The sequence below is a fragment of the Homo sapiens genome, chromosome 3 (genome assembly GCF_000001405.40).
Source record: "Homo sapiens chromosome 3, GRCh38.p14 Primary Assembly".
NCBI lineage: Eukaryota > Metazoa > Chordata > Mammalia > Primates > Hominidae > Homo > Homo sapiens.
Window position 1 is genome coordinate 37,192,413 of NC_000003.12, and position 21,295 is coordinate 37,213,707.

The window sequence follows — 21,295 nt, forward strand, 5'->3', positions numbered from 1 at the left end:
GAGGCTGAGGCAGGAGAATCGCTTGAACCTGGGAGGCAGAGGTTGCAGTGAGCTGAGATCCCGCCATTGCACTCCAGCCTGGGCAACAAGAGTGAAACTCTATCTCAGAAAAAAAAAAAAAAAAAAAAAAAAGGGCCGGGTCGGGTGGCTCACACCTGTAATCCCAGCACTTTGGGAGGCCGAGGCCGGTGGATCACCTGAGGTCGGGAGTTCGAGACCAGCCTGACCAACATGGAGAAACCCCATATCTACTAAAAGTACAAAATTAGCCAGATGTGGTGGCACATGCCTGTAATCCCAGCTACTCTGGAGGCTGAGGCAGGAGAATCGCTTCAACCCACAAGGTGGAAGTTGCAATAAGCCGAGATCGCACCATTGCACCGCAGCCTGGACAACAAGAGCAAAACTCCATCTCAAAAACAAAAACAAAAATTGCAGTGTCTATTTATTAAGACATGGCCACACCCATTCATTTATGTACCATCTGTGGCTACAACAGCAGTTGAGTAGTTATGAAAGAAACCATGTGGTCCACAAAGACGAAAATATTTACTACCTGGCTCTTTATAGAAAAGTTTGCCTCCCCTTAGACTAGACGATTCAAAGGGATAGAAATAAAAATGTTTTTCTAAGTTGCTAGCTCCCTGTTAGTATAAATAAACCTGGGATACAGGTACTCAAATGACGCATATTTCAAAAACTCAGTTATGGTTTTTTAAATGAAATTACATTTAATTTTTTTTTTTTTTTTTTTTTTTTTGAGATAGAGTCTCACTCTGTCTCCCAGGCCAAGCTGGAGTGCAGTGGCATAATCTCAGCTCACAGCAACCTCCGCCTCCTGAGTTCAAGGGATTTTCCTGCCTCAGCCTCCCAAGTAGCTGGGGTTACAGGCATGCACCACTACACCTGGCTAATTTTTGTATTTTTAGTAAAGATGGGGTTTCACCATGTTGGCCAGGCTGGTCTCAAACACCCCACCTCAGGTGATCCACCCGCCTCAGCCTCCCAAAGCGCTGGGATTACAGGCATGAGCTACCGTGCCCGGCCAATTTTTTTTTTTTTTTTTTTTTTGAGACAGGACCTCACTCTTGTTAACCAGAGTGCAGTGCTGCGATCTTGGCTCACTGCAACCACTCCTTCCTGGGCTCAAGGGATACTCCAGCCTCAGCCTCCTGAGTAGCTGCAGATATGGTTTTAACATGCAATGACCAACTAAGCCAATTTTAAGAAATTAAAAGCCAATTTTGTTTTTGAGACAGTCTCACTTTATTGCCCAGGCTGGAGTGCAGTGGCACAATCTCAGTTCACTGCAACCTCCATCTCCTGGTTCAAGCGATTCTCCTGCCTCAGCCCCCCAGGTTTCTAGGACTACAGGTGCACACCACCATGCCCAGCTAATTTTTATATTTTTTTAGAGACAGGGTTTCACCATGTTGGCCAGGCTGATCTCGAACTCCTGACCTCAGATGATCCGCCCACCTCAGCCTCCCAAAGTGCTGGGATTACAGGCATGAGCCATGGCACCCGGCCACGAAAATCTTATTTACAAAATGTAATAAATAAAATATGAATAAGTATAATGCAATTAAATAATTTAAAAATTTCCCATTTTGCTCATTGATGGTGGCAGAAAAAAAGAGAATTGGGATTATATTAGTTCTCTGACTAACACACAATAGAAACTGACTCTGACTAAGGGAAGAAGGGGTTTATTGGAAAAAGGATTCTTGAGTAGTTCCAGAACTGAGGGAAGAGATAGAGATCATGACCTTTGGAAGGACAGGAAACTGGGAAGCTCCAGGTCCTTACCAGCAGGTGACCCTGGGCCTGCTCTCAGGGCACATCTATGAGACTTCAAGAGGCTTTCATTGGAGTTTCAAGTTTTATGGAGAAATAAATTGATGGGCCCAGTTTATGGCCACGTAGCCAAAGGGAGGGAATAATGTGATTGGTAACCTCCCTGGAGTCCCATGGTTGAAATGGAGAAGGAAGAAAGGAGAGGTAAGTAGGATTAAGGGATGCCAGGCCGAGGAGAACCAACAGATGTGTGCACAGCTTGTCAGGAAACATGGGCTATAATCTCAACTTCACCAAACGGGTGAATATACTGGGCTTCAGTATTATGTTCAATATGTAATAATTATATATTAGTATAAAACGAGGGGCAAAAGACCCATCTGCCATAAAATTATTCATTGGCCACAGTGCAGAGGATTTGGTTTTTTTGAGTTAAAGAATTTTTTTTTTTTCTTAAGAGACAAGGTCTCGCTCTGTCACACCGGCTGGAGTGCAGTAGCACTATCATAGCTTACTGTAACCTCGAATTCCTGGCCTCAAGCCATTGTCCCGAATCAGCCTCCCAAAGTGTTGGGATTATAGGCATGAGCCACCATACCAGGCCAAGAGCTTTGTATATTCATATACAGAATTCATAAACAGTTCACCTGATATACAGAATTCATAAACAGTTTACCTGAACCAACAAGAAAAGACATCAAATAGTGCTTGACTTCATTACTTATTAGGCAGATGCCAAATACTTTTCTTTCTTTTTTTTTTTTTTTTTTTTTGAGACAGGGTCTCACTCTGTCACCCAAGTTGGAGTGCAGTGGCAAGATCATGGCTCATTGCAGCCTCCACCTCCCATGCTCAAGTGATTCTCCCACCTCAGCCTCCCAGGTAGCTAGAACTACAGGCATGTGCCACTGTAGCCAGCTAATTTCCTTTTATTTTTAGGAGAGATAGGTTTTCGCCATGTTGCCCAGGCTGGTCTCAAACTCCTAGTGATCCATCTGCCTCAGCCTCCCAGAGTGCTGAGATTACAGGTGTGAACCACCATGCCCGGCCTAGAGATACAAATTAAAACCACCATGAGATAATACTGCGTATCTACTAGAATAGGTAAAATGAAAAAGACAGACAATACCAAGTTCTGGTAAGGATGTGGGGCAAGTGGAAATTTCATACATTGTTTGTTTGTTTGTTTTGGGACAGTCTCTTGCTCTGTTGCCCAGGCTGGAATGCAGTGGCATGATCTTGGCTAACTGCAACCTCTGTCTCCCAGGATCTAGCAATTCTCCTGCCTCAGCCTCCCAAATAGCTGGGATTACAGGCATGCACCACCACGCCTGGCTAATTTTTGTATTTTTTTAGTAGAGATGGGGTTTCATCACGTTGACCAGGCTGGTCTTGAACTCCTGACTTCAGGTGATCTGCCCGCCTCAGCCTCCTACAGTGCTGGGATTACAGGCATGAGCCACTGTGCCCAGCCTACTTTCATACATTGTTAAAAGCAGTATCAAATGATACAACCATGTTGGAGAACTCTTCAGCAATATACACTAAAGCTGAACACATTCATGCCCCAGAATCCATAAATTCCACTTCTACTTATGTACCCAGGCACCTAAAATACTCTTCCTTAATGGGTTTAGGCCTGGGGCCACAAACTCAAATGCACACAGAAAGATTCTATCATATGATCAATTGTGGTAGACAGTAGGGAGTGTCAAGGACTGTGGTTAAACTGGAGAGCTCCCTATTAAGATTATGTTAAAAAAAAAAAAAAAAAAAAGACAGCCTGGCCAACATGGTGAAACCCCATCTCTACCAAAAATACAAAAATTAGCTGGGCTTCCTGGCAGGCACCTGTAATCCCAGCTACTCGGGGGCCAAGGTAGGAGAATTCGTTGAACACAGGAGGCAGAGGTTGTAGTGAGCTGAGATTGCCCCACTGCATTCCAGCCTGGGCAACAAAGCAAGACCCTGTCTCAAAAAGAAAAAAAAGAGAGGAGTTCTTATCTATACCTGTAGCCATTCTTTCCAAGGGCTCATTGCACTTTGTGCAGGTCTTCAGATGCAAGAAGACAGCCACAGCTGTGGCACACTGCAAACGCAGCAATCAAGGTGAACAGGCGGCCCCTGGAGATGATCGAGCTATACATACCAATATATGAGCTGCTGGAACCAGTTCTGCTTCCAGACAAGGAGTGATTTGCTGGCATGGACGTGTCCATGTGAAGGGTGGTGATCACATGGCCTAGATATATGCTATCCATCAGTCCAGCCTCAAAGCCCTGGTGTCCTATTACCAGAAGTATATGGATGAGTTTTCCAAGGAGGAGATCAAAGACAAAGATCAAAGACATCCTCATACAGTACGACCAGATCCTGCTGGTGGCTGACCTCCACCACCACTAATCCAAAAAATTAAGAGACGCTGGTACCCATGCTTGCTACCAGAAATCCTACCAATAAGCCCATCATGAGAATTGGGGTTTACTTGTATAATAAACAATGTTTGAGAGATTTTTAAAAAAACAGAGATGATCCTTTTGTAGTTCATGAGCATGATGATTGGGTGTTCCTGCCCACGTGTGAGATGAGCCACCCTCGAACCTTGTTACCATGTTGACATATTACCTGACTGACGTGAGAAAAACAAAAAAAAAGGAGATTATGTTAAGTGCCTGGGAAATACTCTTCTTACTGAGGAAGAAACACCTGGCCAGTTGTACATACTGGCCAGGAGAGCATTTTCAGTAGAAGTTATTCAAGTGGGTACTATGGACACCATTTGGTATAACTTCCCATCACTCTTGTACACTTTCCTCTGGAAATAGCCCTGCTGCCATGTCTAGACTTCAAGGTTTTGCCTCTCTCTCAATGGCTAATTGCTCTTGAGTGGACACCTTACCCAAGCCAGGAGCAGTGGATTCTGTTGGTGCTCTACCCAGATCTCCTTGACTAGGCAGTGCACCATCCCCCAGCTGCTGTGAATGTTGGCTATGAACACCTCACAGGTGGCTTTGCTATTGAATCATCTTCCCAAAAATGCTTGAGAAAGTATGTTCTCCCCCTCGAGGGAGAGGAACACCATTGCTTCAAAGTGGGATAACTCAGTCATGTCATTCACTCTCCAGGTCCCACCACCGGATCAGGCTGAGGCTAGGCTTGCTTAGCTCTGTCTCCTGTACCACCCTGCTTCCCTCACTCCCTTAATGGATTTCTCCTGAGAGCACTCTCCCCGTACATCACAACAGAATCCCTCTGCCTTTGGGGAACCCAAGCTAAGTCATAGGGCCCATGAGATCCTTTTATCCCAAAGAACCAGAGAGCCTGGGCACACTGAAACAGAATCATATCAATGGCAACACAACCATGAACTCCTGGTGCTCAGTTTCTTCCCTTGCTGAGCTGTGGTTATCCAGCTTTCTTTTTGATTTCATCAAAGCCCACAGGAGCTTCCCAATAATCCTCCTTTTTGTTTAAGTCAGCCAAAGTTTCCTTTTCTTCCCTGAAACCAATATAACCTTAACTAATGTGATGGGTAACCAAGGCCTGACCTAACGTGGCTTTGGAAATATGACCCAATACTTTATGGGACAACCTCAGTTGGAATCCTGAGGGAAAAATTAATTGATTGCCCTTCCTATCCCTAGGCATTAGTAACTAGAAATGTTGCTGGGATCACTCCCTGTCTTTAATCCTCCAGGAATTTGCCTTGCTGGGGAGCTAATTTGTTACTCATGGCTGTTTTCCTGAGACCTTGTGATTCCCTGGAGGCACAGGAGTTAAATTACTTCCACTGGCCGTCACACCCTTGCATCTTTTGTTGTTTCCAGTACTGTCAGGAAGGCTCTAACATCTCTCTGAGCCTTCTTGTTTCTGAAAAATGCTTTTCTTCATCTTTGTATTTCTCTGTGTGTGTATACATGTGGTACATTTGCACACATGTTAGGAAAGTAGAAGGAGGTCGGGGGAAGTCAGAGGAGGAGTGGTCAGATTTCAGATCACTGAACCATGGGTTATAAATAAAGGGTGACACAACACAAGCCTGATTAGTTCCACTCAGAATTGCTCACTGATTCATCAGAAAATTGATCCTTCTGACCTAGACACTCCTCTCTCAATAGTCAAAGGCAGCTTTTGTTTGAGTCAGTAATTGTGCCTCTATAGGAATTTTATGGAGTTTAGCCCAAGAAAACGTTCTATCCAAGCCAAATGTGGGTATGGTAGAATACTATTGAAGATATTAACCTACATTCTCCGATTGGCATGTCCTCCTCTTCTTTCCCTCCATTCAAGCAGCCATGTGGTCTCAGGGAGACATGCCGCAGAGAGAAGAATGAAAAGTTGACAAGTTTTTCTGGCTTGTTTCTAATAATAGATGCCATAAACTGATAGTTCACTGATCTTCGAACACCCACACATGAGTGCCACTGTTTTGGCCCACACAGTACTTTTTTAAAGTATGATGCTGTTCACATGAGGCTCAGCTCTCCAGGTCACCACAGTCCCCAGCATTCCTTATTGTCTGTCACAATTGACATTACCTGCCTGGCCTCTTTCTGTGTGCACTTGATTCTGTGACCCCAGGCTTAAACCCATTAAGGGAGTTTATATTAGGTGCCTAGGAAGCAAACATTCTTTCCTCTTAGGAAGACCCGGAAGATTAAGAGAGGGAAGGTTTCCCTCTTAAGAGGAAAAACCCTAGGGTTATAGTCAATAATGAGCCAGGGCCTCTTCTTTGTATCACAGAGAGTGGAAATTCTGGACTCTCAGGCCCGGAACGCTGGGGTCCAAATGCCTGAGGAGATGGGGGAGTTACGGAAGGAGCAGTACTCCCAAGACAGGATAGAGGCAAAGAGGCACATGTGAGGGTCTCGAGTCACAGTGAGGAAATTCTCCCTGCAGCCACCCATTAAGTCCCCTTCTTTTTCCCACATGATTCATCCACCAAACAGATACTTAGTAAGAGTTCACTGTGTTCACTGTGTGCCAGCAATGAACCAACATTTGTGGGCTTTTCATTATGTAATCTCTCTCTCTCCATCCATCCAGATTCTGAACTATTTCCAAGAAAATGTCACCACTTGCTTTACCTCCTGAGGCACCTTGAATACCCCTTTGCCTTGAATGAGAGAGAGAAAATTGTTTTTCCTTCATTCATATAATTCTGGAATGATAGCTCTGAAAAAGCCATGAGAGCTGATAAAGGCCTCCTATCTCCGAGAAAGAAAAGAAATTAAGAAGATTTGGTATCTTTGGTTCACCACTGTATCCCTAGCAGTGTCTTGAACAATGCCTGACACATAGTAGGTTCTCAGTGTTTATTTGTTGACTGAATGAGCAGCTAAGCAGTTAAGGGCAGAGTGGGTCCCAGTTGCCACATGTCCTCAATCTTTATCCAGGCTCTTTCCCAAACTGCAGGTTAGCAGAGGGAAAGCCAATGTTTTTTTATAAGAGCCTTCTTTTTTTTCTGTTTGTTTTTGTTGTTTGTTTTTAGAGACAGGGTCTCACTCTTTTGCCCAGGCTGGAGTGCAGTGGCATGATCATAGCTTACTGCAGCCTCAAACTCCCGGGCTCAAGCAATCCTTGTGCTGCTAAATTAAAAAAAAATTTATATATATATATACATATATATGTGTATATATGTATATATATATATAATATATATAAATGGAGTCTCACTATGTTGCCCAGGCTGGTCTCAAACTCCTAGCCTCAAGTATTCCTCCCACCTTGGCCTCCCAAAGCACTGGGATTACAGGTGTGAGCCACGGCACACAGCCCCCATAAAGGCTCTTAATAAGAAACTAAGAGGGAAAAAAGAATCGTAACGGGAGATTTAATGGCAGTGACAGTTTTCAGAAGTGTATATGACCATGGTGGAAGTCTAGAAGAACCTGGCCTAATGGAGCCAGTCTTGAGCTGCAATTCTTTTAACTAATTCTCCCAGAACCTCTTGACTTAGTTGCTTTCACTGGAAAATAGGTGTATTCTGGGGGTTAAAAAGTTCTCCAGGGAAAGCTTCCCACTTACCTCACTGTCTTGGTATCCCGCTCTTCCACCCAACATACAAACATGCAGCTGGTCACTCAGCCAGTCCCTAAAACCTGTTAATTGGCCCATAGTTTGGCTCCGAGCAAACCTGTGGACTTAGGAGCCTCAGCTCTTGCCTCCCAGGAGTTTCTCAACTTTGGGGGAAGGTAACATATGTGCTCTGAAGCAAGCACAATGATGGCTATGACAGGCATTTCGCAGCACACGTTTAAATAACAACCCTAGGTGAGGCAGGTCAGTGAGAGGCCATCAATAGGGAAAATAGCAGTGTGAATCTAAGGCTTGAGAGAAGGGAGAGAAGGCTGTGGCCTTAGTGTCCAGCCTGCTCAGCATCCCTTCTCCCCTCTTCTGGTAGCAGCACTTTTTTTTTTTTTTTTTTTTTTGAGGGAAGGTCTCACTCTGTTACCCAGGCTGGAGTGTGGTGGCACGATCTTGGCTGACTGCAACCTCCACCTCCTGGGTTCAAGCGATTCTCGTGTCCCAGCCTCCCAAGTAGCTGGGATTACAGGTGTGCACCACCATTCCTGGCTAATTTTTGTATTTTTAGTAGAGACGGGGTTTTACCATATTGGCCAGGCTGGTCTCAAACTCCTGACATCAAGTAATCTGCCCTCCTTGGCCTCCCAAAGTGCTGGGATTACAGGTTTGAACCACTGCGCCCAGCCTTGTTGCAGCACTGTAATTATCCTTTAAGAAACTGTCCCCAACTAGTTGCATGTGGGTGGACTTGGCGGAACTATGCATTTTTTTTTTTTTTTTTTTTTTTTTTGAGACCGAGTCTCGCTGTCTTCCAGGCTGGAGTGCAGTGCGCGATCTCGGCTCACTGCAAGCTCCGCCTCCCGGGTTCACGCCATTCTCCTGCCTCAGCCTCCAGAGTACCTGGGACTACAGGCGCCGGCCACCACGCCCGGCTAATTTTTTGTATTTTTAGTGCAGACGGGGTTTCACCGTGTTAGCCAGGATGGTCTCGATCTCCTGACCTTGTGATCCACCCGTCTCGGCCTCCCAAAGTGCTGGGATTACAGGCGTGAGCCACCGTGCCTGGCCGGGACTATGAATTAAAGTGCTGTGGTCGATGGGTATGTGTGGCCCAGAGACCCAAACTAGGCCATTCACACTCTCTCTTCCAAGGATTTGAATCTTTTTTTTTTTTTTTTTTTTTGAGACGGTGTCTCGCTCTGTCATCGTCCGGGCTGGAGTGCAGCGGCATGATCTTGGCTCACTGCAACCTCCGCCTCCCGGGTTCGTGATTCTCCTGCCTCAGCCTCCGGAGTAGCTGGGACTACAGGCGCGCGCCCCGACCCTGGCTAATTTTTGTATTTTTAGTAGAGACTGAGTTTTACCATGTTGGCCAGGCTGGTTTCAAACTCCTGACCTCACGTGATCCTCCTGCCTCGGCCTCCCAAAGTGCTGGGATTACAAGCGTGAGCCACCCCACCCGGCCGGGATTTGAATCTTGAGTACAGGAACATAAGGGTGGAAAATCTATCCCGGATGGAAGCTCTCTGAAGGGACCTCCCATTAACTCCTGCTACTTGGACACCTCAGGTCCCCTAACTGCTCTTCCTGGGGCCTGCCGGCTCAGATTCTGTAAATTCTGTGAGCTTTCCCATATCATTCCAATAAGGTCTTTTAAGGGTCTGCTTCTGTGATTGGCAACCTGAGAACCCTGCTTGGTACAACAAGGGTTCCTGGAAAATGTAGGAACGTGAACTGGCATGAGTAGCTGAAAAGGATGCAGAACTTATCCCAGTCCAGGAGAACATCATCTGTAAGGCCTCTCCAGAACTCTGCTTGGCCTAACTCAAGGGGAGATTCCAAAGGGGGAGGTATGAGAAGTTAGGAGGGGGATGTGGAGTGGAGCCAGAGTGGACTGGAGGGTATGGCCTTTCTCCTAGAGCAGAGGTTCACACAATGTTGTTGGATACACTGCTGGGCCGTAGTCGTGAGAGCTGCAGATGGAGGTAGAGCCAGCCAACAGACAAGTTGGCAGGATGCACTAAAAATTGGAGCTGGGCCTCAGAAGTGGGTTATGCTGGCCAAATATCATCTGTCTAGTGTGTCCAGGCAGCAAAGAGTTGGGAACCATTACTGAAGAAAAACAAGAGCCGTGGAGGAGGGGATTGTTTGAGGATGCAGTAATTGCAAAGAATAGAGTGAACTCTTTGGTCAGCCTGGGTTTGAATCCTAGCTCCATCACTGATGTTGTGTGGTTGATTTTCTTACCCTTAAATGGTCCCTACCTCAAATTAATATGGTGGCTGGCACATAATAAGCACTCAATAAATGATGGCTGCTGCTATTATTTTCATCAATAACATTTTATATAAATCCACATTGTTAATTAGTAATTATTATTATTTCCAGTTAAACTTCAGATTTAAAGCCATAGATTATCCCTGCATGCATACCCACCCACACACAAAACACACAGTTATATTCAGAAATACCCCTGGGGCCCAATCTGAAATTACAGACTAATAAATCCTAGACAAAGCTAACAAGATATAAAAGCAATGATCCAACAGGCATAAACTTCTACCACTAGGTTAAAAGAGAAATGGTGATCTATGACTCAGAGCTGTGGAATAGTCAGGGACCCAAGTGACTGGCAAAATTGGGACAATAACCTGGGTTTACCTCCTGTTCTGACAAGACCCTTGGAAACTGGATGCAGATGCAGCCCAGATGCTCAAACAGGAGTGTGATGGTCCATGAAGTACCCAGTGAGTCTGAGGAAATGGACCTGAAAATGTCACTGTATTATGAAAACAACTTCATTTATCACTCTTCGAGAAGACAGTGATGGGGAAAGTGCTGGCCTGGGACTTGAAAATCCTAGAGTCCACCAAGGGTCTATTAGGACTTCTGGAAAGTGGTTAATCCTCTCAATGCCTGGGTTTCCCCTATCAGTAGCCCCTGACCATGGCATGAACGTTCCTCCTCCACCTTGTGAATATTGCCCATTCTGTCTGTAATACCATAATCTCACGCTTTCTCCACCTCATCCTGATGCTCTCAGGATCTCTGAATTTTAAACACAAATATATCCTCCCCCACAGCTGACATTTTATCTTCAAGGCCAATTGGCACAAATATAGACATAGCCATTGTGTTATCATAAACTGCAGGTGGGTCTTTTCCTTAGGATATTGAAGCATAGGGATTTATTTATTTATTTATTTATTTATTTATTTATTTATTTATTGGGGATGGAGTCTTGCTCTGTTACCCAGACTGGAGTGCAGTGGCTGGATCTTGGCTCACTGCAACCTCTGCCTCCTGGGTTCAAGCGATTCTCCTGACTCAGCCTCCCGAGTAGCTGGGATTACAGGCACCCACCACAACACCTGGCTAATTTTTGTAATTTTAGTAGAAAAAGGGTTTCACCATGTTGACCAGGCTGGTCTCAAACTCCTGACCTCAGGTGATCCACCCACCTGGGCCTCTGAAAGCGCTGGGATTACAGGTGTGAGCCATCGAGCCCTGCTAAAGCATAGGGATTTAAACTAAAAGGCCACACTTCCACCACACACTGCAAGGTAGGAGGGACAAATATTAACCTCATTTCACAGGCAAAGAAATTGAATCTCAGTGAGGTGGGGTGACTTGCCCAAGATCACAAAGCTGGGAAATGTTCAGTCAACTCCACATCCACCTTATCTGCTTAAATTCCAGGGTTCTCTCCTTCATAATCAGCTATGTCTTAGGCAACTTTATGATCTCCAGGTTATATGGTCTCTGAGGGATCTTCTGGGCTCAGGGACTTGGGAACAGTCCCCTCCAGGTAGAGGGGAATCCTTGGGGAAAGCCTCAGGATGTAGCTGGAAACATCCTAAGAGATATTTGGATCGTATCAGTGAACAAGACACCAAGAGCTCCATCTCTGTGGAATTTACAACCTAGTGGGAGTAAGAGTCAATAAGCTATAAAAATAACAAATACAGAGATTATATAAGATGTTAAAAGGTTATAAGGGCTACAAAGAAAGAAAGAAAAGGGAATGGGAAATGGGTATCAGAAGTGTCAGGCTAGAAGGAAATGTTGCAATTTTAAATGGGGCAGTCAGGAAAAGTCTCATTGAGAAGGCGACATTTGAACAGAGACTTGAAGATCAGGGATGGAACCACAGGATATCTGGGCAAAGAGGATTCTGGGCAGACAGATGAGCCAGCACAAAGGCCCTGAGGTGGAAGCATTCCTGGTGTGTACAGAAGACAGTAAGCAGGACAGGGTGGCTGCAGCAGAGTGAGCTGGTGGTGGAGAGAAAAGTGAGACCAATCATGTAGGGACTCGGGGACCACTGTAAGAACTTTGACTTTTACTCTGAGTAGAACAGCAAGCCATTGGAGAGTCCTGAGCAGAGAAAGGACTGACCTGCCTCATGTTTTAAATCTGGCTGCCGTATTGGAAGTAGATTGGAGGAAAAAAAAGTGGAAGCCCTGGGACCCACCATCATGAACAATCGGGGAGAAGACAAGAGGCCAGCAAAGGAATGAACACAGGTAGTAGGACAAAAACTGTAGTGTATGTTTTCCTGGAAGCCAAAATGACGAAAGTCTCTCAAAGGAGGGAGTGGGTCTATTTAGCCCCCTTCCAAGACTACAACTGCAGTGAGTGTTCCACAAAGCATATCAAGTCCTTTAAAATCCTTGAAAAACTTCCTACTACCCTCAGGAATAGCCCGAAGCAATTATCAGGACTTGTCAAGCCTTTCTGAGCTGACCTTGCTTGTCTCATACCAAGCGCATCTCTACCTGAAGCATTTGCAGCTCCCCAAACATGGGGTGCTTGTTCTTAACACTGAGCCTTTCTGTAGTTCTTCCTTTGCCTGGAAACTTCCTGTCAATCCTTCAGGTCTTGGCTGAGATGAGACACCCCCTTTCAAGTCTTCCCCTGCTCTGTGCTCCATGAACATCTAGTGCTTACTCCAGCTGGAGCATCTAGTGCATCTACAGCTGGAACATCTAGTGCTTACTCCAGCTGGAGCTAACTGAAAAGATATATTCTCCCCCACCTTTAAGAAGGTACTTTGTAATATTCTCCCACACCCTTAAGAAGGTACTTTGTAATATTTTCCCCCTGCCCTTAAGAAGGTACTTTGTATGCCTATCCCAAACCTATAAGAACTAATGATAATCCCGGCCGGGTGCGGTGGTTCACACCTCTAATCTCAGCACTTTGGGAGGCCCCGAGGCGGGTGGATCGTGAGGTCAGGAGATCGAGACCATCCTGGCTAACAGGGTAAAAACCCATCTCCACTAAAAAAATACAAAAAATTAGCCAGGTGTGGTGGCAGGCGCCTGTAGTCCCAGCTACTCTGGAGGCTGAGGCAGGAGAATGGCAGGAGAACCTGGGAGGCAGAGCTTGCAGTGAGCCGAGATTGTGCCACTGCACTCCAGCCTGGGTGACAGAGCAAGACTCTGTCCCAAAAAAAAAAAAAAAAAAAAGCACTAATGCTAATCCCACCACCCTTTGCTGACTCCTTTTTTGGACTCAGCCCGCCTACACCCAGGTAAAATAAACAGCCTTGTTGCTCACACAAAGCCTGTTTGGTGGTCTCTTCATAGGGACGCATGAGACATTTGGTGCCGAAGACCTGGGTCAGCGGGACTCCTTTGGGAGACCAGTCCCCCATCCTCACCCTCACTCTGTGAAGAGATCCACCTACGACCTTGGGTCCTCAGACCAACCAGCCTAAGGAACATCTCACCTATTTTAAATCGGGTAAGCGGCCTCTTTCTACTCTCTTCTCCAACCTCTCTCACTATCCCTCAACCTCTTTTCCTTTCAATCTTGGCACCACCCTTCAGTCTCTCCCTTCTCTTAATTTCAATTCCTTTCATTTTCTGGTAGAGACAAAGGAGACACATTTTATCTGTGGACCCAAAACTCCGGCACAGGTCACAGACTCAGGAACACAGCCTTCCCTTGGTGTTTAATCATTGTGGGGATGCCTGCCTGATTATTCACCCACATTCCGTTGGTGTCTGATCTCCGTGGGGATGCCTAACTTGGTCATTCACCCACATTCCCTTGGTGGCAAGTTAATTGTAGGGACAATTGCTTTGGCTGCTCACCCACATTGCAGCCCAGGGCTGCTCATGTCACCCCTTCTCTCCGTGTCTCTACCCTCTCTTTTCTCTCCACTTTCCTGGGGGGCAAGCACCCCCCACCCCTTCTCTCTGTGTCTCTGCCCCTTTTCCACTTTCCTGGGGGGCAAGAACCTCCCACCCCTTCTCTCCGTGTCTCTGCCCCTTTTCCATTTTCCTAGGGGGGCAAGTACCCCCCACCCCTTCTCTCCATGTCTCTGCCCCTTTTCCACTTTCCTGGGGGGCAAGCACCTCCCACCCCTTTTCCACTTTCCTGGGGGGCAAGCACCTCCCACCCCATTTCCACTTTCCTGCGGGGGCAAGCACCTTCTTTTCAAGGGCCTGTTTCCCTTGCCTCCATAACTGTTGTGAGTATTGACAGCCAGGCTTCTAAACCTCTTAAAACTCCCCAACTCTGGTGCCAACTTGGACAACATTCTTTAATGAACTCCTTTTTAGTTATCCCACCTGCCCAGCTCGCTTATTAGTTCAAAACATTGTAACTAAATTATCTGCTTCCCTGACTATTCCTGGGTTAAAGCCACACCTCACTACTGCCTTTTGCCCCAGTTCAATGCCTCCTGCACATCCTCTCCTTGTATCTCCCCACCTTAATCCACAAGTGTAGGACACCTCTACTCCCTCCTTGGCGATGGATGATGCACCCCTTACCATCCTATTAAAATCTAATCACCCTTACCCTGCTCAGTGCCAATATCCCATCCCACAGCACGCTTTAAAAGGATTAAAGCCTGTTATCACTTGCCTGTTACAGCATGGCCTTTTAAAGCCTATAAACTCTCCTTACAATTCCCCCATTTTACCTGTCCAAAAACTGGACAAGTCTCACAGGTTAGTTCAGGATCTGCGTTTATCAACCAAATTGTCTTGCCTATCCACCCCATGGTGCCAAAGCCATATACTCTCCTATCCTCAGTACCTCCCTCCACAACCCCTCCATAACCCATTATTCTGTTCTGGATCTCAAACATGCTTTCTTTACTATTCCTTGCACCCTTCATCCCAGCCTCTCTTTGCTTTCACTTGGACTGACCCTGACACCCATCAGGCTCAGCAAATTACCTGGGCTGTACTGCCACAAGGCTTCACGGACAGCCCCCATTACTTCAGTCAAGCCCAAATTTCTTCCTCATCCATTACCTATCTCGACATAGTTCTTCATGAAAACACACGTGCTCTCCCTGCTGATTGTGTCTGGCTAATCTCCCAAACCCCAACCCCTTCTACAAAACAACAACTCCTTTCCTTCCTAGGCATGGTTGGATACTTTCACCTTTAGATACCTGGTTTTGCCATCCTAATAAAACCATTATATAAACTCACAAAACCAAACCTAGCTGACCCCATAGATCCTAAATCCTTTCACCACTCCTCTTTCTGTTCCTTAAAAACAGCCCTAGAAGCTGCCCCCACACTAGCTCTCCCTAACTCATCCCAACCCTTTTCATTACACACAGCCAAAGTACAGGGCTGTGCAGTCAAAATTCTTACACAAGAGCTGGGACTGCACCCTGTAGCCTTTCTGTCCAAACAACTTGACCTTACTCTTTTTGGCTGGCCCCCACCCCCATGACTGTATCTCTCTGATCCACCTGACATTCACTCCATTTCCCCGTATTTCCTTCTTTCATGTTCCTCACCCTGATCACACTTGGTTTATTGATGGCAGTTCCACCAGGCCTAACCGCCACTCACCAGCAAAGGCAGGCTATGCTATAGTATCTTCCATATCTATCACTGAGGCTACCACTCTGCCCTCCTCCACTACCTCTCAGCAAGCCAAATTCATTGCCTTAACTCGAACACTCACTCTTGCAAAGGAATTATGCATCAATATTTATACAGACTGTAAATATGCCTTCCATATCCTGCACCACCATGCTGTTATATGGGCTGAAAGAGGTTTCCTCACTATGCAAGGGTCCTCCATCATTAATGCCTCTTTAATAAAAACTCTTCTCAAGGCCGCTTTACTTCCCAAGAAAGCTGGAGTCATACACTGCAAGGGCCACTAAAAGACATCAGATCCCATTGCTCAGGGCAACGCTTATGCTGATAAGGTAGCTAAAGAAGCACCTAGTGTTCCAACTTCTGTCCCTCATGGCCAGTTTTTCTCCTTCTAATTGGTCACTCCTATTTACTCTCCTACTGAAGTTTCCACCTATCAATCTCTTCCCGCACAAGGCAAATTGTTCTTGGACCAAGGAAAATATCTCCTTCCAGCCTCACATGCCCATTCTATTCTGTTGTCATTTCATAACCTCTTCCACGGTAGGTTACAAGCCGTTAGTCTGCCTCTTCAAACCTCTCATTTCCTTTCCATCGTGAATATCTATCCCCAGTCCTCCACTCTTGACTCCCTCTTGGAGTGGATAGATGATCTTTGCTGACAGGACACATTCCAACACTTTCACCCTGATGAAGTCCTATTCTTTACTTTTATACTCACTCTTATTCTTGTTCCCATTCTTATTGCCACCCTCTACCTCTCCCCAGCTATCTCCACCACACTATCAATTTCACTCACTCTCTCCTAGCTATTTCTAATCCTTCTTTAACAAACAATTGCTGGCTTTGCATTTCTCTTTCCTCCAAAATCACCAAGGCCTCAATTTACTCACTGCTGAAAAGGGAGGACTCTGTATATTTTTAAATGAAGAGTGTTGTTTTTACCTTAATCAATCTGGCCTGGTATATGACAACATAAAAAAACTCAAGGATAGAGCCCCAAAACTCGTCAACTAAGAATATAATTATGCTGAACCCCCTTGGGCACTCTCTAATTGGATGTCCTGGGTTCTCCCAATTCTTAGTCCTTTAATACTTGTTTTTCTCCTTCTCTTATTCAGAAGTTGTGTCTGTCATTTAGTTTCTCAATTCATACAAAACCACATTCAGGCCATCACCAATAATTCTATATGACAAATGCTCCTTCTAACAACTCCACAATATCACCCCTTACCCCAAAATATTTCTTCAGTTTAATCTCTCCCACTCTAGGTTCTCACACCACCCCAATCCCACTTGGAGCAGCCCTGAGAAACATTGCCCATTATCTCTCCATACCACCCCAAAAATTTTTGCCACACCAACACTTCACCACTATTTTGTTTTGTTTTTCTTATTAATACATGAAGACAGGAATGTCAGGCCTCTGAACCCAAGCTAAGCCATCATATCCCCTGTGACCTGCATTTATACATCCAGATGGCCTGAAGCAAATGAAGATCCACAAAAGAAGTAAAAATAGCCTTAACTGATGACATTCCACCATTGTCATCTGCCCTACCCTAACTGAGAAGATATATTCTCCCCCGCCCTTAAGAAGGTACTTTGTATGCCTATCCCAAACCTATAAGAACTAATGATAATCCCAGCGCCCTTTGATGACTCTTTTTTCTGACTCAGCCCACCTGTACCCAGGTGAAATAAACAGCCTTGTTGCTCACACAAAGCCTGTTTGGTGGTCTCTTCGCAAGGACGCATGAGACAGCATTTACTATGCTATTGAGATTGCCTGTTGAACCTTTCTGCCTCCTCCAACAGAGAATAAGTTTATTGAAGGCAGAGAATATTTATCCTTCACGCAGAACTTGAAAAAACAGTTATAATTTTTTATTTTTTGAGACAGAGTCTTGCTCTGTTGCCCAGGCTGGAGTGCAATGGCACCACCTCAGCTCACTGCAACCTCTGCCTCCCGGATTCAAGCAATTTTCCTGCCTCAGCCTCCCAAATATCTTGGATTACAGGCACCTGCCTTCATGCCCGGCTGATTTTTGTATTTTTGTAGAGACAAGATTTCACCGTGTTGGCCAGGCTGGTCTTGAAGTCCTGACCTCAGGTGATTCACCTGCCTCAGCCTCCTAAAGTGTTGGGATTACAGGCGTGAGCCAACACGCTCAGCCAGTATTTTTGAATGAATGAGAAAATACATTTTGGGACATGCTTGGGACATGTTGAATTGAGGTATTTATGGGACACAGAAGGCAGAAGCATCTGGTAAGAGCAGTGGTGTGCTGGTAAATGTTTATCAACTGGCTCTCAGTGGAAAAAGTTCCGATTTGCAGCATTTGTTGAATTCCACAACATCAACACTCCCACCGTTGGTATTCAAGCTGCCAATGTGGCATTGCTAAATATAGAGTTGAGAAGAGATGTGCACTGTTGGCTCTCACAAGTTGGTGTGAGCAGGCTCCAGCACACCACTGCCTGTGGGTAGGTGGATTTAAGGGTATGAGGTTCAGGAGTGCAATGTGGGCTGGAGAGATGGATTTGGTGGTCATCTTCGAAGTGATGGTCATTGGAGCTAGGGGAACAGCAAGATAACCCAAGGAGTTGGTTCAGGGTCAAAAGGAGAGAACAGGAATCGAATTTGATGCAAGGCCAACATTTTAGGTAGCATGTGGAAGAGGAGCATCTTTGAAGGAGAAAGACGTGAATGAAAAAATCATTCAGGAGAACAATTCAGGAGAAAACCTGAATGATTTTCTCATTCAGACAGGAAGACCTGAATGAGAAAATCAGGAGAGCCAGGTCAGAACAGTGTCAAGGAAGTCAGAGAATAGGAATTTTCAAGAAGATTCTTCCCATCGTAAAAATTATGCAGAGAGATGCAGTAATGCAAGGTCTGGAAAATATCTATTAAGTTTCAAAGTTAGCAGGTTATTATTACTTAACCAGAATAGTAAGGAGAGTGGCCAGAGTATAGAGAGGAAAGTGAGAAGAGAGTGTATATGGTCAGGGATGGTGGCATTTTGGGTGTTGTATTAGTTACCTATTGCTGCATATCAAATTACTTTAAAACTTAGTAGCTTAAGCCGGGCCCAGTGGCTCACACCTGTAAATCCCAGTACTTTGGGAGGCCGAGGCAGATAGATGACTTGAGGGCAGGAGTTCAAGACCAGCCTGGCCAACATAGCAAAACCACATCTCTATTAAAAATACAAAAAATTTAGCTGTGTGTGGTGACAAGTGCCTGTAATCCCAGCTCACTGGGAGGCTGAGGCATGAGAATCACTTGAACCCAGGAGGTGGAGGTTGCAGTGAGCCGAGACTGTGCCACTGCACTCTAGCCTGGAGCAAGACCCTGTCTCAAAAACAAACAAAACAAAACAACATAGTAGCTTAAAACAAAAATAAACATTAACTCAGATTCAGTGCGTCAGGAATTCAGGAGAAGCAGATCTGGGCAGTTTAGACCTGGGGTCTCTTATGATGTTACTTGGGGCTGTGGCCATCTGAAGGCTTGAATGGGGCTAGAGGACCTCATGTGGTTGGCAAACTGCTGGCCATTGGCAGGAAGCCTCAGTTCTTCCCCATGAGGACCTCTCCATAGGGCTGCTTGAGTGTCCTCACAATATGGCAGCTGGTTTCCTCCACAGTGAATGATCCAAGAGAGAATGGCAGAAGAAGCTGCAAGTGTCTTTAATGGCCTAGTCTTAGAAGAAATGCACCATTACTTCTACATATCTTGTCATTCACACAGACTAGCCATGATTCAGTGTGATGGGGATGATACAAGGGCATAGATATCAGGAGGAAAAGATCATAGGGGGCCATCTTGGAGGCTGGCTACCACAGATGGAGGCAAGGGCTGGTAGGATTGACTGGCCTCAGGGTTGCAAACAGAACTCTGATATTAATCTGCTTCATTGAATCACTGGTATATTTCGGTTCCCCAGTAGAGGTGTTATTCAAGCTCCCAGTGCTGGGACATCTTTCTGTAGACTTTGAGGTTGGTGCAGGAAGAAGACTAGCAGTGTGGATAATTTTTTCTGTGAGAACCATAAGCCAACATAGGCTGAGCCTAATGTGTGGCCTCATTATTGAGGCTATTTCAAATACAGACTCCCTCTCTTGGAAGGTACACAATGATTGGGCCTGGAAATTGTGCAGTCAGATGGAAGTAGCATCATGATCAGAATGTAAGAAGCACATTTTCTCTGAATCAGGATAAACCTCACTGATCAGGGCTTACCTCTTTCTACCTCTGAGATTCTTTTTTTTTTTTTTTTTTTTTTTGAGACAGAGTCTTGCTCTGTTGCCCAAGTGCAGTGGTATAATATTGGCTCACTGCAACCTCCGCCTCCTGGGTTCAAGCGATTTTCCTGCCTCAGCCCCCTGAGTAGCTGGGATTACAGGTGTGCACCACCATGCCTGGCTAATTTTTGTATTTTTAGTAGAGAGACGGTTTTGCCATGTTGCCCAGGCTGGTCTGGAACTCCTGACCTCAGGTGATCCACCTGCCTCAGCCTCCCAAAGTGATGGGATTACAGGCATGATCCACCTCACCCGGCCTTCAGTTTCCTTTTTTTCTAATAGTAAGATACAAATTTGGGGGAAATGTTTTTACTTTCTCAGTTTTGTGTATCATAAATCTATAAGGGCTTATAATAATGGACATAACACCTATCATCATGGTTAGAGTTTGGAATCAAATTTGTGGAAACGGCTGGGCGTAGTGGCTCATGCCTGTAATCCCAGCACTTTGGGAAGCTGAGGCGGGTGGATCACCTGAGGCCAGGAGTTCGAGGCCAGCCTGGCCAACATAGTGAAACCCCATCTCTACTAAAAATACAAAAATTAGCGGGGCATGGTCGTGGGCGCCTGTAATCCCAGCCACTCGGGAGGCTGAGGCAGGAGAATCGCTTGAACCCAGGAGGTGGAGGTTGCAGTGAGCCGAGGCTGTGCCACTGCACTCCAGCCTGGGCAACAGAGTGAGACTCTGTCTCAAAAAAAAAAAAAAAAAAAAAATTCTGGAAACTAGAATTTTCTACTTAATCACCTGTGGGACGTTCTCTGCTGCTGCCATCTTGTGGCCACTTGGAGTAATAACATTCACAGTGTGCCTTTGGTCAGTCCAGTGACTCACCAGATGATGTAGGAAGGTCCTCTGGATTCTGTGTAAATATTTCCGATGACAGGTTTCCAATTATTCTACAAGACAGGCTATACCTATGGTGTAAAGCTTTGCTTATTAGAAAGTTCTTTCTGAAACTGAGTCAAATTCTGCTTTTATTCCATTTCTATACAATTCTTTTTCTACTTTCTAATTTTTTTTGGGGGGGGGTGGGGACAGGATCTTGGTCTGTTGCCTAGGCTGGAGTGCAATGGCGTGATCATAGTTCACTGCAGCTTCAAACTCCTGGGCTAGCTCCTAGCTAGCCTCTCAAGTAGTTAGGACCATGGGTGTGTGCCACCACGCCTGGCTAATTTATTATTATTATTATTATTTTTGAGACAGAGTCTCACTCTGTCACCCAGGCTAGAGTACAGTGGCACAATATTGGCTCACTGCAACCTCCAGCTCCCAGGTTCAAGTGATTCTCCTGTCTCAG

At 45.5% G+C, this 21,295-nt stretch overlaps 1 long non-coding RNA gene, 1 other non-coding gene and 1 pseudogene across 5 annotated transcripts in view; all 3 read left to right on the top strand.

Annotated features, from left to right (window-relative positions):
• Positions 1-17,412, top strand: part of LOC105377642 (uncharacterized) — a 33,448-nt gene extending 16,036 nt beyond the window's left edge. For 2 of the 4 annotated variants that reach the window (XR_002959625.2, XR_007095871.1), the window contains exons 2-4: positions 12,263-12,350; positions 13,416-13,572; positions 17,096-17,135. This is a non-coding gene — a long non-coding RNA (uncharacterized LOC105377642). Of the gene's footprint in view, positions 1-12,179; positions 12,351-13,415 lie in introns of all 4 variants that reach the window. The other 2 variants (XR_007095870.1, XR_007095869.1) reach the window with 2 other exon arrangements.
• On the top strand, positions 3,822-4,257 carry RPS16P4 (ribosomal protein S16 pseudogene 4; annotated as a pseudogene).
• Positions 4,329-4,432, top strand: LOC124906354 (small nucleolar RNA U13). Its single transcript, XR_007096321.1, has one exon. It is a non-coding gene; the product is annotated as a small nucleolar RNA U13 (small nucleolar RNA).
• Positions 17,413-21,295: the final 3,883 nt, after the last annotated feature.